This window comes from Homo sapiens, chromosome 17 (assembly GCF_000001405.40).
Source record: "Homo sapiens chromosome 17, GRCh38.p14 Primary Assembly".
NCBI classification, from domain to species: Eukaryota; Metazoa; Chordata; class Mammalia; order Primates; family Hominidae; genus Homo; species Homo sapiens.
Genome location: NC_000017.11, coordinates 28,500,163 through 28,517,285, shown reverse-complemented (window position 1 = coordinate 28,517,285; position 17,123 = coordinate 28,500,163). Strand labels below are relative to the sequence as shown.

Here is a 17,123-nt window from a genome sequence, read left to right as displayed (position 1 = left end):
TGTGTACCCTGTGGAGGTGTGTCCCTGTGGAGGTATGGATCCTGTGGAGGTGTGTACCCAGTGGAGGTGTGTACCCTGTGGAGGTGTGTATCCTGTGGAGGTGTGTACCCTGTGGAGGTGTGGATCCTGTGGAGGTGTGTACCCTGTGGAGATGTGTACCCTTTTGAGGTATGGATCCTGTGGAGGTGTGTACCCTGTGGAAGTGTGTACCCTGTGGAGGTGTGGATCCTGTGGAGGTATGTACTCTGTGGAGGCGTGTACCCTGTGATGGTATGGATCCTGTGGAGGTGTGTACCCTGTGGAGGTATGGATCCTGCGGAGGTGTGTACCCTATGGAGGTATGGATCCTGTGGAGGTGTGTACCCTGTGGAGGTGTGTCCTTGTGGAGGTATGGATCCTGTGGAGGTGTGTACCCAGTGGAGTTGTGTACCCTGTGGAGGTGTGTACCCTGTGGAGGTGTGTATCCTGTGGAGGTGTGTACCCTGTGGAGATGTGTACCCTTTTGAGGTATGGATCCTGTGGAGGTGTGTACCCTGTGGAAGTGTGTACCCTGTGGAGGTGTGGATCCTGTGGAGGTATGTATTCTGTGGAGGCGTGTACCCCGTGATGGTATGGATCCTGTGGAGGTGTGTACCCAGTGGAGGTGTGTACCCTGTGGAGGTATGGATCCTGCGGAGGTGTGTACCCTATGGAGGTATGGATCCTGTGGAGGTGTGTACCCTGTGGAGGTGTGTATCCTGCGGAGGTGTGTACCCTGTGGAGGTGTGTACTCTGTGGCGGTATGGATCCTGTGGAGGTGTGTACTCTGTGGAAGTGTGTACCCTGTGGAGGTGTGGATCCTGTGGAGGTATGTACTCTGTGGAGGCATGTACCCCGTGATGGTATGGATCCTGTGGAGGTGTGTACCCTATGGAGGTATGGATCCTGTGGAGGTGTGTAACCTGTGGAGGTGTGTACCTTGTGGAGGTGTGGATCCTGTGGCAGTGTGTACCCTGTAGAGGTGTGTACCCTGTGGAGGTATGGATTCTGTGGAGATGTGTATCCTCTGGAGATGTGTACCCTTTGGAGCTATGGATCCTGTGGAGGTGTGTACCCTGTGGAGGTGTGTACCCTGTGGAGGTATGGATCCTGTGGAGATGTGTACCCTGTGGATGTAAGGATCCTGTGGAGGTGTGTACCCTGTGGAGATGTGTACCCTGTGGAGGTATGGATCCTGTGGAGGTGTGTATCCTGTGGAGTTATGGATCCTGTGGAGTTGTATACCCTGTGGAAGTATGGATCCTCTGGAGGTGTGTACCCCTGTGGAAATGTGTATACTTGTGGAGGGGTGTACACCTGTTGAGGAGGGTATACCTGTGGAAATGTGTACCCTGTGAAGGTATGGACACTGTAGAGATATGTTCACCTGTGGAAGTGTGTACCCTGTGGAGGTGTGTACGCCTGTGAAGGTATGTATATCTGTGGAGGTGTATACACCTGGGGAATGGTGTTCACCTTTGGAGGTATGTACACTGTGGAGGGGTGTACTCCTGTGAAAGTGTGTATACTTGTGGAGGGGTGTATACCTGTTGAGGAGTGTACACCTGTGGAGGTATATTCACCAATGGAACTGTATACCCTGTGGAGGTGTGTACACCTGTGGAAGTCTATACTTTTGGAGGGGTGTACACCTGTGGAGATGTGTAGCCTGTGGAGGTATGTTCATCTGTGGAAGTGTGTACCCTGTAGAAGCATGTACCACATGGAGGGGTGTACCTCTGTGAAGGGGTGTACACTTGTGGAAGTATGTTCACCTATGGAAGTATGTACCCTGTGGAAGTGTGTTCACCTGTGGAGGTATGTTCACCTGTGGAAGTGTATACACCTTTGGAAATGTGCACACCTGTGGAGGGTGTACCCTGTGGAGATGTGTACACCTATGAAGGGGTGTACTCTGTGGAGGTGTGTACCCTGTGGAGGTATGTACTCTGTACTCTTTGGAGGTATGTACCCTGTGGAAGTGTGTACCCTGTGGAGGTGTGTACCTCATAGAGGTGTGTACCCTGTGGAGATATGTACCCTGTAAAGGTGTATCTGGCCCACAGAGCTGTCAGCAGGGACCTCACCCCTCCTCTGCCTTTATGTGGGGCGCCCCTGAGGACATCCTCAAGGAGATCAGGAAGACTTGGCTGAGTTTTTACACCCCAGGAAGGAGGAGCTGTATTATCATCCCATTTTATAGATGAGGAAACTGAGACTCAGAGAAGTTAACCTGACTTGCCCAAGTTCACTCAGCTAGTATATTATGCTCCCCAGGATTCCAACCCGGGCTTCAAAGCCAGCATGCTGAACCATTACGCTACACGGCCCCACCTTGGTAACGCCTCAGCCTCCCTGCTCAAGCCTGAAAGGTGGGTGGGGGCGACGTTGGAGGTTTCCTTGGGAGGGTCTGTCCCTGCCTCCCCTGTGGGCAACTGAATCACAGGGACAGACAGGCCTGGGGCACCAAGGGTCCTCCCCAGGCTCTCTTCACGCTCCCTGCTGCCTCCCACCTGGCGGCCTCCTACCCACTCTTTATGAGTGAGGTGGGGACGGCTCAGTTCCACCTTAATGGTTTCTGTTGCTGGCTGCGGCAGCATGTTTTACGAGGGGTGGGGCTCGGCCGGCCGGGTGCTGGCCTGTAGCCCCACCCAGGGCTCCACCCGACAGGCTGCTGGGAGGGGTCCCCTGGAGCAGCTCGGCAATTATGGGGGTGGCAGGGAAGGACCTGGGGGCTCTGCCTGAGGCTTGGGCACCCAAGGAAACTCGGGGTCTGGGAATGCCAAGAAAGAGGGGGTTTCTAGCTCCTTTCTCCCCATCAATGTTGGAAGTTCTGAGGGCAAAATTCTGGCCTCCCTGGCTCTTAACCCAGCATCAGTTTCGGAAAATGGGTTGCGTGCCCCTGCCTTGAGATCTGACTCAAGTACAGAGCAGGTAGGGACAGAATGGGCAGGGAGGGGAGTGGGGAGAACAAAGGATGAAAAGCCACCATGTCCCCCAGGTGACGCTTTCCTCCATGTGAGCCACCGACACCTGCAGCTGAGTCATTCCAGTCCCCAAATCAGGCTTCTCCTAAAGACTCTTCAGCATTCCCATGTGCCTCTGGAAGCAGGCTGGTCCCAGAGCATTGCCTAGTACGCCCATCCTGGAAAAGCACTTGAGCCTTGGGCCGACCTGGAGGTTCTTCCAGATCTCTAATCCCTATTTATTGTAATCTTAGTCCTCTTGTCCTGTCCTTCCTGCCATTCACCAAGCCACCCACCAGAGCCTCTTTAAGGGCAATAGACTCATCCCTTCTGCAGGGAGGGTCCCAGCTTTGCTTCAGATGCCTGACTCCAACAGCAACCAGTCTCCCACTCTCCTTTGCCCAGCACCCCTTCCTTTTCGCCATCCCTGGCTGCCTCTGGGCACCTTCCCGTCTCTCCAGCCCCTCTCTAACCTCTGCCACCCAGCCATGGCCCCAAAGGAGCCAAATCCAAGCACTCACAGTGGGCTCTGGGTCATGGCCACCATCACCGCTTCGGGGAGTCATTCAGCCTGCAGCTCCCCAGGAGCCTCCATCGAGGTATAAATACTCCCACATGCCTGGACCGGCCCCCTGCCCGAGGGCTGAGGCGGGGCTGTCTCCCCAGGCCAGGCAGGCAGGTCACATGCCCCATAAATGCCACAGGACCACAGGCCCTTCCTAGCAGCCCTGGGGAGGCCAACTAGAGCCTGACCTCTCTGGATGGATGGGTGGATAGATAGATGTATTTATGTATGTAAAGATGAACAGTTGGATGAATGGACAGATCATCGGATGGAGAGATTGATGGATGGAAAGCTGGACAGATGGACAAATCAACAGACAGATAGATGAATGTTTTATTTTTTTATTTTAAGTATTTTTATTTCTGTGAGTATCTGTAGTGTAAAGGATGAATATTTAGTGGGATAGATGGATGGATGTCCTTGACCTACCCGTGAATGTTTATTCTGGTTTTTTTTGTTTGTTTGTTTGAGACAAAGTCTCACTCTGTCACCCAGGGTGGAGTGCAGTGGTGCAATCTTGGCTCACTGCAACCTCCACCTCCTGGGTTCAAGCGATTCTCCTGCCTCAGCCTCCCAAGAAGCTGGGATTACAGGCGGGCAGCACCAAGTCTGGTTAACTTTTGTATTTTTAGCAGAGATGGGGTTTTGCCATGTTGGCCAAGCTGGGGATGTTTATTTTGTAGATGGAAAGAAAGGGGTGTTTGGTTTCAAGGAAACAAGAAATGCTACCCCTCAAAGCTTCCATCCATTCCTTTCTGAGACATACCTACTAGGACCCCTTCTCTCCTCTGCTAGTCTGAGAGATCAGCCCTACTGGGTTCTTCCTACTCCTTAGATGCTCCTTGACAGAGACCTCCCACCTAAGCATCCTCGGCCTCCAGGGATCTTTTGCTCTTACTTGTGGGTGTCATTCATGGTCTGCCTCCTCCACCCTCCTGCCTCCCTGGCTACTCTGGAGTCCAGGCTCTGAGGCTGGGAGCCTACCCCAACATCTTGCTCCCAGAAGCAAGGTCAGCAAGCTTGCCCCGCCAAGGTTAGTGGGGGAGGGGAATTCCCAGTTCCAAAAACATAAAACCCCCTTGGACAGGCAGTTTAAGGAGAAGGTTCTCCCACCTCCACCTTCCCCAGGTTCTAGAGATGGGGTCTTGCTTTGTTGCCCAGGCTGGTCTCAAACTCCTAGGCTCTCGCCTCAGCCTCTGGAGTATATGAGACTAAAAGTGCATGCCACGGTGCTCACCTATTCCCAGGGATTTTTTGAAGCCATGGCTGAGTCTGATGGTGAGAACTGGCCTGACCTAGGACTTGGAGGTGGACAAGGTGGCCTAGAACCACTCAGGGCTTGACTGGAAAGCTGGACTTTTGAGAAGGAGGAACTTGTTGCCTGCTTGATCCTTCCAGGGGGCAGTGTTCAGAAAGCAGTGATCTGAGGCCTTAGACATTGGTTTCTAGAGAAGAAAGTTCCCTGAAATCCTCAGTCTGCCCAGCTGTGATAAGGGCCAAAGAATGGCTGATGAGGTGGGGCATGAGTGAAGGACCAGGAGGCTTTTGCACAGATTGTGAAGCCTTGCCTTCATCCCTCCTCAACAAGCTTCCTCCAGCTACACTGGCTGAAGGGGATGGAGAAATGGGCTGGGGTATGGGATGAAGTGGCTGACCTCTAAGCACTCATTAGCTCTGGGTCCCTGTGGCCCGGAAGTCCTACCCCTGTAATGAAGTCACCCAGGGCTGAGCCCGATGGTCCCACCCCCAGCCTCCTGTGGGCTGTGTAGGTAATTGGCTTTGGAGTTGTTGGGCTGTGGCAGTGATTGGCAGCAGAGGATTTGATCTGTGAGACCAACAGGGATGTTGGAGCTTGGTCTCACCTCCCCCGTAACCTGGCGTTATAATCTCTGGACGCCTTCACTGAGCCCAGATCCTGGCTTCCCTACAGAATCCCCCTTTTCCCTCACAGTGAGTCCTCCCGACCAAGGACTGCAGGAGGGTCCTTTCCCAGCTCTGCTCTCGGTGTGGGCTAGTCATGAGAATAAACCTTGTTCCCTCCTTTATAAAATGGAGTCCTCATCTTTGCCCTACATACCTCATCTGGCTGTCCTGGGGACCGAGTGAGAACCAGAATGTCAAAATCCTCAGAAGTTAAACCAGCACCAGCTTGTCTGGTGCCCCTGCCTCCTCCCCTGGGGTCCCAGGCCTGTAGGATTTCAGGAGTGGGATGGGGCTGAGTGAGATCTTTTTACCTTCAAACATCTGCCCTTCCTAGGGGTGTGCCCCAGGGGGATGGTCAAGAGGGCCCTCGTCCTGCTGGTGCGCTCGCTCTTTGCCTGTCCACCTGAGTGGGGGCAAAGAAATGGCCCAGGATCCCACTGTCCGTTGGGCCAGGGGCCTCTCACATTCTGTACATATCATTATCAGAACTGCTCATTAATACCAATCTATTATTAAGGATATTAATTCTGCCACCACTACTAATAATACAGATTTAGTACAAGGCAAATACATACTGGTGCACCTCCTCTCCCAATGCCATCTTGCACAGGGGATGGGCAGGTGGTTATCTCCTTGAACTTACTAAGCCTTGAAGTGAGAAGTGCACTGGGAGGCCCTCCCACCCAAGCCCCTCTTTATCTGACAGATGGGGAAACCGAGGTCCCACCAGTGGGAGAGATTGTTCCCTGCTATGCAGGCATCTGTGCGCTGCTCCTTCCTCCAGGTGCTGGGGCTATGGGAAGCAGCTCTCAGCACCTAATCATGTCCCTGGAGAAGGGGCAGGCTCTGGGGGCATTTTCCTGAGCCCATCCAGCTCCTTGGCTCCAGCTGCCATCTTTCTCCCTTGACCACCCTCAGATCATACTGGATTTGGCATTGCCACCCCAAATAATTTTTTCTCCAAAACCCTTCCCACTTTAGGCAGATTGACCACGCTTGCGGGAAGGCACAGAGAAGCAGAGCCACCTCTATGAAGCCACATGCTCTTGGTGCCCAACGTGGGCTCCAGGAACCCTCTCCAGAGGAAGCTGGGGACACTGCCCCCACTGACAGTGAAGACTGCTGTGGTCACTCTGGGCCTGCGTGGAGGAGGGGTGCTAAGTGCAGAGTCTGATAATTGGGTTTTCTGATCACAGCGATGTGTGTGTGTGTGTGTGTGTGTGTGTGTGTGTGCGTGTGTGTGCGTGTGTGTGTGTGTCCTTCCTCATGTACATTCTATGCCTTCCGAGACTGATGGGCTGGTGCAGTCCGGGACATGGCTATGGAATTTACAAGTGTAAGTGGGACCTCCAACTGTCTCCAGGCAATCTGGTTCCAGGGATGCACCCCATTCTCATTCTGTGTGTGTGCGTGCGCGTGTGTCTGTGTGTGTCTCTGTGTGTGTCTCTCTGTATGTATATATGTATGCGTGTGTGCATGTATGTATCTCTGTGCATGTGTCTGGGTGTGTGTCTCTGTGTGTGTGTGTCTCTGTGTGTATGTGTGTCTCTGTGCTGTAGTTTGTCAGAGGCAGTGGGGGGAGCCCTGAAGGCCCCGGAGGGTGTATGAGGGCAGGATTTGGAGCTGACTGACAGTGCATCCTCCTGTGAGCATGGGGTGGAGGGCGAGGGTCAGACCTTGCAGTGGGCTTTCTGTTGCATTCTGGAAGGGGATGGGAGGATCTGGAGGGTTGCCTACCCCTGGAAGCTTCTAGAGTAGCTGTGAGAGCACAGGTTCCCTTTTCTCCATGACTCACAGCTGGCTCTCCAGTCAAGTTCCCCAAGAGATCACGATTCAGCGAATTCTCTCCCTGGCCCCATTAATCTGAGCTGACTAAGCAAGGGCCACAGGCAGGGTAGAGACCCGGGGATGCGCACTCCTAATCAACCCTAAAAATCCCTGCTCCTGCTTCCATGCCCCCTCTTCCTTGGCCCGCCATGCCTGATAGGATCAGTTACGCTCCCAGCCCCCTGAGAAAGCCTGCCCCGGCCCCGCTTTGGGGCTCTATGAGGGTGTCTCTCCATCCCCGCTTCACTGCCACATGCCCGCAGTGTGGAGGTCTGTCTGGGCGCCAGCCCTCCACTTGTCTTGTTGCATCTGAACTCATTTTTACTGTTTGGTGAGCATCCAGCCTTTACGGCCCAGATAGGATGAGGAAGCTAAGGGCTGCTCCAGGGATGATCTTGTCCTGCTCGTTTTGTCTATTGGCATGGCTCTGGGCTTTTCCTCAATGCTCAGACAACCTGGGGGACACCCCAGAACCTGGCGGGGATGCTGGTGAGGGGTGTTAGACTCCAAGGGAACCTGTGACATAGGAGGAGATCCATCCTGAGGAATGGAGCAGGAGGTGGAGATGGGGATAGGAGTGTGGTTGGAGGTGGGAGTGAGGAGATGAGGTAAGGAGGAAGGAGCAGGATGGGGTGGTGGTGATGGAGGCAAGTTTGGGGACGGGGATGAGTAGGAAGGGGGCTGGGCGGGATTGAAGGTGGGAATGGAGATAGGTTATGATGGGGAAAGAGACAGAGACGGGTGGAAGGGTCAGGGATGAGGTTGGAGTTGGGCACAGAGAGGGAGGGAGGGGCAGGGGATGGAGATGAATAAGCTGGAAAGACCCAATGTATTCTGGAACCATGTGGTTCGTGCTTCTGGGAGGCCCTCTCCCAGAGGTCATCTTGTCTTTCCCCAGCTCCTGGAGGTCCTCTCATCCTTCCCCAGCTCCTGGGCATGTTGCCAGCCCAACCCCACCCACCCCAGATCAATGGTTGCCTCTCCACTCAGGAAACCACCTCCTGTGGTCACATAGTCCAGTCAAACTCAACCTAAAATGCTGAGAACTTTCTCTGAACTCTGTCAGTCACTCCTGCTGCAGAAGCCAATCCTGGTTTCCTGAACTCCCCTCTGCCAGCCACAGCAGGGATGGCAGGCTGTGATTTGGAAGGACAGAGGGGAGGGCATACCTGCAGGACCTCGGTCCCCTCCATCCTTTTGTTATGGGCAGATGGGGAGGCAGGCAGAAGTGGACCGCAACTTCGTCAGAATGTGGAGTCAGAGAGAATAAGAGGCGCAGCGAGAGTGGGGCCTTTCTGTCCCTGCCAGCGCCCAAGCAACCAGGGCATTTCATTGTGACTTAGAACAGTCTCTGCCTATGTGCCTGGGCCCTGTGCAGGCAATGGGGGTTCTGCTGGTCCATGAAGACCAGGTGTCAACTCAAGCCAGAAAGGGAGAGGTTAGACATCAGGAAGGACTTCCTAGCTAGAGAAGGTGAAGAGTCCAAGGAAAGAGGCGATATGTTGCTTTCTTAGAGGCCAGATGGGACTGTCTGGGGGATGGGGGGAAAGGAAGGCTTTCCCTGAGGCAACGGATGGCACATGACAGAAGGTGCATGTCACCAGTGGGCTTTCCCCCTTGTCTTTAACTTTCCTAAGCCTTCTCGCGATGAAGCCTTCTCACGGTGAAGACGGCTGTTGGTTGGAGGCAATGTGGCGTCAGTGCGTGGATGAGACAAAGCTGGGGAGCAGGGAGGGGTCCTAAGCCCCCTAATTTTTCTCTAGTTTCCCAGGACCCACTGGTCCAGAAGATTCTGGGGCTCCCTGAGCCCCTGGGAAATAAAGTCCTCTGAGAACTCCCTGGCATTCCCGGGAGAACAGGTTTCTGGCTCTGGGAGTGAGTGAGGCGCCGGGCCTGGGGGTGCAGCGTGCCTCGGCAGGCCCTGGAGCCGGGAGCTGAGCTCGCACAGGCAGCGCGGGCGGGGCGGGGCTGGGCGGGGAGCCGGGAGGACATGCGCCTCTCCCTGTGGCTCCTTCGCCTTTGAGGATCCCCAACCTGGGGCAGCCCTCACCCCGTCTGCCCCTCTCCAGGACTCAGCCTGGCTCTGTCCCTGCCTGGCTCACCCTGGACCCCTCACAGAGCCACAAGAGAAAGGGACCAGGATAGGAGGCCCTGCCCCTTCCCCCATCCACTCGGGGTGCCCTTGTACTGCCTGTGTCTTGTGGTCAGGGAATGAGCAAGATGGTAAAAGGTTCTGAGCCAAGCCCGGTGGGGACAGGACTGCAGTGCAACGCCGCCCTCGGATCCGAGGAACTAGTGTTCCTCAGTGCGGGAGGAAGAAGGCTACCGGGCAAGCAGAGCTGGACCCTGCAGCAGTAAAGACTTCAGAGAGGCTCCAGGAAGGACTTCATGATTGTGAGGAAACTGACCAGATTTTCTCCTTCAGGGATTAGGAAAACTAGGAGGGGCAGCCCTGCCCGATGTGGGCAATGACTGGCATAGGGGCAGGGGATGGATAGGATGACTTCCCAAGATGAGCCCCTCCGCCCGGGTCCCTTCCCACTGACCAGTTGTGCATTGCCACAAAGCACATCCAGACATATCCCCCATGCCTGTAGGTGCCGAGAGAAGAGGCAAACACGCCCACTTGCTAGAGTCTACTCTTCATCCAACGGGCTTCTTTGGATATTTAGGGAGGGCCTGGGGGACTCCACGGGGAATGCCAGAACCTTATCTGAGCGGGTAGTGGGTGGGGAGGAGTCGGGGGAGCTGGCAGGGGCTTCCTGCTGCTTCGGCCACTTCCCTAAGGGCCTTCACTTCCCACGCCCCCAACTCTAGGCCCCAAAGGCCTCAGGGCTCCCTGCCTGGCCCAGCTCTGCTCACCAGGACTCTGCCTTAGGGGTCTTGCGGGAGAGAAATGGAGCTGGGGATAGGAGGCGACTCTGCCCTAAGCCCAGCATCAACTCATGGCCACAGCACCTGTTTGCCACCTGTCTGCTTCGCCACAAGGTGCACCATCTCCTTTCTGCAACCCAGGCCTCTGCATGGGCCCAGGCATCTAGACCCCAGCCCAGGCTGCGTGGAGATGTTGAGCAATTCCTTGATCTGCACACACCCTTGGTGCTCCCCAGCTCCCAGAGCTGGGCTCTCCCTTCTTCACCTGGAAAACCACTACATGGAGAACTTGGCCCCCTGCCTTTCAGCTCTAGTTTTCCAGATCTAACACTTTTGAGTCCTCATTTCCTCCCAGCACAGGGTGGGTGAGCGCATCTCCAACACACAGAGACACACACAAAATCCAGCACACACCAGAATGAGACCCACACCACAGCAAGAGGGATTAAAGTTGGACAACCTAGAAAAGGAACTGGAGGGGGAGGTGGGGGAAGGGGTGCCCCTTGGCCTCCAGGCACTCACCCGAATTCTGAGTCTCCCTTGAGCTGCAGTGAGAACCTGGGTGCTCCCCGTCACTCCTGAGCCCCGTTAAAAAGGCGAACGCCCTCCCCGTGCCCCAGCCCGGCCCTGCTGGCCTCCACGGCTGACTTGGGCCGGGGCTCCTCTTACCTGCTCAGTGAAGCAGGTCGGCGTGGGGGCCCGGGTCTGGGGGGCCAGGAGCTCTGTCCGTCTGTCAGTCCGTCAGCTCGGCCGTCCTGTGTCTGTGCTGACATCAGGTGAGGGGAGGCAGCTGCCAGGTGAGCCAATAATTATGATATCAGCTTCCCCTTGCCCGGAGGGGCTGCGCCAAAACGGGGAGAAGAGAAAGGTGACTAAGAAGCTAGTTTGCTCCTTGGCTCTTGTTTGACAGGTACCGGCTCCCGTGCCCGCCCCAGCCGCACCCTGGCCCCCCAACCCCTCCCTCCTCCTGAGCTAGCCCAGGCCCCCTCCCCTGTCCCTGCCAGTGCGCACAGCCTGTGGCTTGTAGAGGAGGGGGTTGTCCCGTGGCCCCCGCCTGCACTCCAGAAGGGAGATGTCGCCCCCCCACCCACAGGTGGGGCACAGGCCTGTTGGAGCATGCACGTGTGTCAGGAGAGCCTGGCCGCCACATGTATGCTCATGGAGCCCACTCATGAGGTTCTGGGGAACAGCGCTGGGTGGCAGCCCAGGGTTCTCTGAGGCACGGCATGGACAGGTTGGGCCCTTCAAGGGCCAAGCATTAGCACAGATTTGCTGGGAACTGTCTGTCCATGGGGCCGGCCATCTGTCTGTCTCTCCACAGCTCCCGCAGCACCTCGAGGGTGTCTCCTTGTGGGTGGGGGCGTGTGCACCCACTGGAGCATGTGCTGGTGACTCCCATCTCCCTCTCCCTCAGGGGCAGATACATGCGAGTCTGTCTGCATCTCTCCCTGGGTCTGTACATCTGTCTCCTGGGTGGGCGTGTGTCTGCATGTCTTCCCCTGTGTCTGTGTCTCTGTGTCCCCGGACCCAGGCCCGTGTGTCGTCCGTGTGTTGACATGCTCATGTCTGTGCACACGTCTCTGCTGTGGGTCAGCAACCTAGTCCTGTGTGAGCATGTGGGTGTCTGTGGGGGTGGAGATGGGGGCTCCCTGGTTCTGTGTCTTCATCCCAGGCTACTCTTCATTATTTGGAGGATAGAAACAGAAACCTGAGTGGCTGTTGCCCTGGTCTCTGGCCCCTTAGAGTTCATGTTGAGGGTGAAGCCCTAGGAATTGGCTTCCCTGGTCCCAGCTGGACTCAGGCCTGGAGCCTGTCCCTGCTCCCTGACAGCTTTCTCTGCTGTTCCCCCAGACCCTGTCCTCACCTCCTTCTCTCTGCTTCCTTTTCATCTTCTTTGCCCTCCATCCCCTTGTCTCCTGTCCCTGGTCATTCTTTCCCTCCTCCATCTCCCTGACCCTTGCACTGGCCTCTAAGCCCACTTGTGTCTCTTCCTGGAGCTAAAGGCTCTAAGGACCTAGTACCAGCACTGCTGCCCAGCAAGTTCTGGGATTTGGCTTCTGGCCTGAGGGTATGGACAAGTCAGCTCTTCCCCAGTGACTATCTCATTCCAAGGAGAGAGGTAATATCAACCCTGGCCGGGGCACAGTGGTGGTCATCTGGCACAAGTGTGGAGCATGCTAAAACATTTAGAGAGTTCTTAGTGGAGGCGGAAAATGTTCTGTACTAAATATCCATTTCAGAAAAGAGGATGCAGGGGCAGACAGCAATGAACCCATTTGTAAGTGATGGTTAGCTGTGTGATCTTCCATACTCCCCACTCTGAGCCTCAGTTTCCTCATTTGTTAACAAGGGAGTAATACTCACCCACAGGGTGGTTGTGAGGATTAAATAAATTTATATGTCTAAAGTTCTCAGCACAACCCCTTGTATATAGTAGATGCTCAGTAAACAAGTGGCTCCTTTCTCTTCACCAAGGCCAGTGGTGCTGGGAAAGAAATGAGGACGTGCTGGCATGCCCACTCCAGTATAAGAATTGTGTTCTGGGGTTAGGAGAGGGGCCCTGACTCAATCCACCTTTCTCTGGGACTCACAGTAGCAGTCAAAGCTCTGCTCCCTTAACCCTAATAGTCTACGGAGTTTCACAGTGAAAGGGCAGCTATCAAGACCTGGGTGTTTGCTAACTGCTTCTATCTGATGTACACAGAGCTAATTGTTATTTCTAGACTCACAGATATTTCTGTATGGATACTCTGGGCACAGAAAACCACAAAAGTTGTAAGTTGAAGGCTGCCATGGTTGTTATCAATGAACATTATTCTGAAAGCCCCAACCAGTACAATAAGAGAAAGAAATAAGGCATTAATATAAGAAGGAAGGATGCAAAACCTTCAAGAATTACAAATGTTGTGCTTATTTAGGAAATCGAAGAGAATCGACTAAAATACTATTACAACAAATGAGAGAATGAAGTAAGATAGCAGAATATATCAATGTATAAAAATCAAAACCATTTCTATACAGCTAAAACAACCAATTAAAATAGGAGATAGCTGGGCACGGTGGTTCACACCTCAGCAATTTGGGAGGCTGAGGCGGGTGGATCTCTTAAGCTCAGGAGTTCAAGACCAACCTGGGCAACATGGCAACACCCTGTCTCTACGAATAATACAGAAATTAACTGGGTGGGGTGGCACGCGCCTGTAGTCCCAGCTACTTGGGAGGCTAAGGTGGGAGGATTGCTTGAGCCAGTGATTCAGAGGTTGCAGTGAGCCGAGAGGTTTCGGTGAGCCACTGCATTCTAGCTTGGGGGACAGAGTGAGACCCTGTCTCAAAAAAAAAAAAAAAAAAAAAAAAGAAAGAAAAAAAAGGAGACAAAAAGATTTAGCTCACAAAAATAACAATACAAAATATCCAGGAATAAACTTAATAAGAAATGCATGAAATCTACATGAAGAAAACAATACATTTTTACTGACAGACATAAAATAAGACCTGAATAAAAAATAAGGGCATATCATGTTACTGAACTGGAAGGCTGAAAAAAAAAAAAAAAAGTAAAAAAGAAAAAAAAGGCTAGGCATGGTAGCTCATGCCTGTAATCCCAGCACTTCGGGAGGTGAGAGGATCGCCTGATCCCAGGAGTTTTGACACCAGCCTGGGCTACAAGGCGAGAGACCCTGTCTCTAAAACAGCAACAACAGGAAGGCTGAATATAATATTGTAAGGATGTCAGTTCTCCTCTAAATAGAAGCTGAATGTAATTCAAATCAAAAGTCTAAAGGATTTTTTGCCCCCTAAACTTGACGAGTTGATTCTATAGTTTGGGGGAAGGGTAAATACATGAGAATAGCTTGGAGCTTTTTGAGAAAGAAGACTAACAGAGGTAACTTTCCCTGCCAGTTTTCAAAATGTTCAATAAGGCTTCCATAATTAAAGCTGCAACTTTGATACAGAAATAAATAAATTAATGGAAGATAATAGAGTCCAGAATAAACTTGGATATTTGTGAGAAATGGGAATATGATAACAAGGTATTTTAAAATAGATATATAATAGTAGGGTATTTTACTTTATTTTTCTGAGACAGGGTCTCGCTCTGTTGCCCAGGCTGGAGTGCAGTGGCAAGATCATAGCTCACTGCAGCCTCCACCTCCTGGACTCAAGTGATCCTCTCACTTCAGCCTCCCCAGTAGCTGGGACTACAGTTATACCATGCTCAGTTAGTTAAAAAAGAATTTTTTTTTGTAGAGATGGGGTGTTGCTCTGTTGCCCAGGCTGGTCTCAAACTCCCAAAGCACTGGTATTATAAGCTTGAGCCACGACATCTGGACTGTAAAGTATTTTAAAGTAGCAAGTAAAAAATTTAATAAATGGAGTTGGGGCAATGAACTTTCCATTGGAAAGAAATAAAGTTAAATCCTACTTCACACTGTACATTAAAAAATCTAGATGGATTAACAATCTAATGTAAAAATGAAAATCATACAAACAAATAGAAAAAATATAGGAAATATTTTTATGATTATGGAGTGGAGAAAGGCATTTTTAAACATGACATCAAATGCAGAAGCCATAAAGGAATACATTGACAGATTTGACTAAATAAAAACTGTAAATTTCTTTAGAGCAAAATGTAACATGAACAAAGTTAAAAGACATAACATAGCCTGGAAGAAAGTGTTGAAACATATGTAACAGATAGAGAGTTAATAGCCACAATATATAAGGAGCTCCTCTAAATAAATAAAAAGATGATTTCACAGAAAAATGGGCAAAGGACACAAGCAATTCACAGGTAAAATACAAACGGCCAAGACACAAGTGAAACGATTTTCAACTTCATTAAAAATCAAGAAAATGCAAATTAATTCAGGGGCCAAGGGTCTCAGGGAGGCCCTGATGGGATGCCCAGGAGAGACTGTAGTTATCACCTCCCACAGTGAGACTGCTTCTGGCGGGTGAGATGAACTTCTTTCTCTTCCAAATCAGGATCCACCTCTGCCCCAGGAATGGGTGTAGGCTCTGGCTCTGGCTCCCTCTTTCCTTTGGGAAGCATGACTTCCTCATTGCATGCAGTCTGGGAGTTGAAACAGGAACCTTGGGATTGCCACAGTCCTTGGACTGAAAGGGGATTTGTGAGGTGTTTCTCCTCTGTCTCTAGATAGGACCATCCCCTCCTTCTCTCATCACACCAGCCCTCCAGAATTCTCTCTTAGGCCCAGAAAGTCTGTCCTGGTGTCTAGCCTCAACTCCAGCTGCTGCAGTATTGGGAAAGGACTTTTGTCTGGAGTTTTGGTCCCACACACTCCAGCACCCTCATTTCAGGTCCTCAGATGGAGCTGAGCTGGGCTCTGGCCTGGAGGAGCTGCAGCTAGATGCTTAGACAGGCTGGGGCCAGAGAAAGCTCTGTCCCTCTGAATACTGGAGGTCAGAAGCAGTTCACTGTATGCTGCTGAGCTGTGCCCAGGGCTGGGCTGCTTTGGGCCAGAAAACAGCCCTGGCTGGGGATGGAAATCCCTGGGGCCCATGTCTGCTATGCTTCAGTCTGGGGAAAGACCCTAGGGACGCTAGGAAGAAGGAAGAGCATGTGCCCACCCTTGGGAGCCCCAATGTGATGGAGGAGGGGGACCCCTTCCTGAACCCTGCATCTGGATTGGCCATCTTCTGTCTGCTTCCGCTCATGCAGGCTGGACTTGCTTTTCCAAAGTGAGTTCCCAAGATTTGAGCCTGCTGCTTTCCAAGTCTCACTCCACTGGTGTGCAAGACACTGAAGAACATCCACAGAGGAACAGGGCCCAAGCAAAGCTGCCATGAGGCCCTGAGGCCCAGGGACCACATGTCAAAGAAGGGGTGGGGAGATCTGGGGTTAATTAGGGTGAGCTTCCTGGGGAAGAGCAGACAGCTCATTGGCTGTGGCTGATGGAGAAGCACCCAGAGCTGTGGAGGGCGTGTGGCGGGGCAGCTGGGCCGAGGTCTGAGCCTGTTCTGGTTGGCTGACCCCCTGGGAAATCCAGGGAGTTTCCAATCTGAGAGCTTGGTGGGGGGGTCGGTGGGGGAGGAACACAGAGTCCTGCTGGGTGGGGAGGGCTTCTCACCTCTTGTCTTAATCCCTCCTGCTGTGGAGGTGGGAGAAGCAATGCTGGGGTGTGTGTGTTTTCACTGGTGTCAGTGTCTGTGTAAGTACATGTGTACCTCTGCATGAGTGTGTACGTATTTACATTTGTGTTCTCACTTTCACGTGTCACCATGGGTGCGCCTGAAGTCTGTGGAGCTGTAATGTGCTACTGGGTATGTCCGTGCCAGAATCTGTGTCTAAATGTGGGTAGCCACATGCAGCGAGAACACTCAGGTCTGACACGGGGTGCGGAGGCGTCTGAGCGACTGTGTGTGTACAGGTGGCTGTGGCTGTGTATGTCTGTGTGTGTTTCTGGGGGTGGTCCTGTGTGTCTTTCAGGCTGTGAGAGCCTGTAATGTTGTATGCATGAGTGTTTGTGTGTGAATGTGTGTAACTGTGTGTTCCCGGGTATCCATGTCTGTGCATGTGTCTATGGGTTCTGTGGGTACCCAAGGATCTGTGACTCCACGTACACACATTTGTGGGTCTTTCCACCCTTCAGAGCACTCTTCTGAGTCCCCGTCACATTCTTTCCAACTAGGCTGCTCTGTTCCCTTCCTTGCCTTCTCCTCTGCACACCCCCTTCCCCTTCCCTTGCCAAACTGGGGTGGAGGCTGCAGGGTTGGAGACTGGTACTCCACCAGAACTTCACCCACCCAGTTCTACTCGACCCCTGACCCAACACTCCCTAGCTTCCTCCACCCTTCCCTCCCTCCTTCAGAAAGCAGCCTCCCCTCCAAGACTGTGAGGAGATAGGAAGTCATGGCCTGCGCCCCCAAGGAGCCTACTCTGGGGCCAATGACCTTAACCTCTAGAGCGCACTTTGGCCGGGGCC

At 52.9% G+C, this 17,123-nt stretch overlaps 1 protein-coding gene across 8 annotated transcripts in view, besides 2 other annotated features; it reads right to left on the bottom strand.

Annotated features, from left to right (window-relative positions):
* FOXN1 (forkhead box N1) overlaps positions 1 to 10,938 on the bottom strand; it is a 32,553-nt gene extending 21,615 nt beyond the window's left edge. For all 8 annotated transcript variants that reach the window (XM_011525358.2, NM_001369369.1, XM_011525362.2 and 5 more), the window contains exon 1: positions 10,843 to 10,938. The gene's annotated coding sequence lies outside the window, so the exon portion shown is untranslated. The remainder of the gene's footprint in view (positions 1 to 10,842) is intronic.
* Positions 8,735 to 9,687: an enhancer, noted in NCBI's record as "H3K4me1 hESC enhancer chr17:26834617-26835569 (GRCh37/hg19 assembly coordinates)". NCBI's record gives its function as "activates a minimal SCP1, AML or CMV promoter by ChIP-STARR-seq in primed H9 embryonic stem cells {active_cell/tissue: H9 hESC(primed)}" and the evidence as "EXISTENCE:reporter gene assay evidence [ECO:0000049][PMID:30033119]".
* Positions 15,942 to 16,138: a silencer, noted in NCBI's record as "fragment chr17:26828166-26828362 (GRCh37/hg19 assembly coordinates)". NCBI's record gives its function as "represses an EF-1alpha promoter that drives an FKBP-Casp9 reporter gene in an ReSE screen in HepG2 liver carcinoma cells {active_cell/tissue: HepG2}" and the evidence as "EXISTENCE:reporter gene assay evidence [ECO:0000049][PMID:32094911]".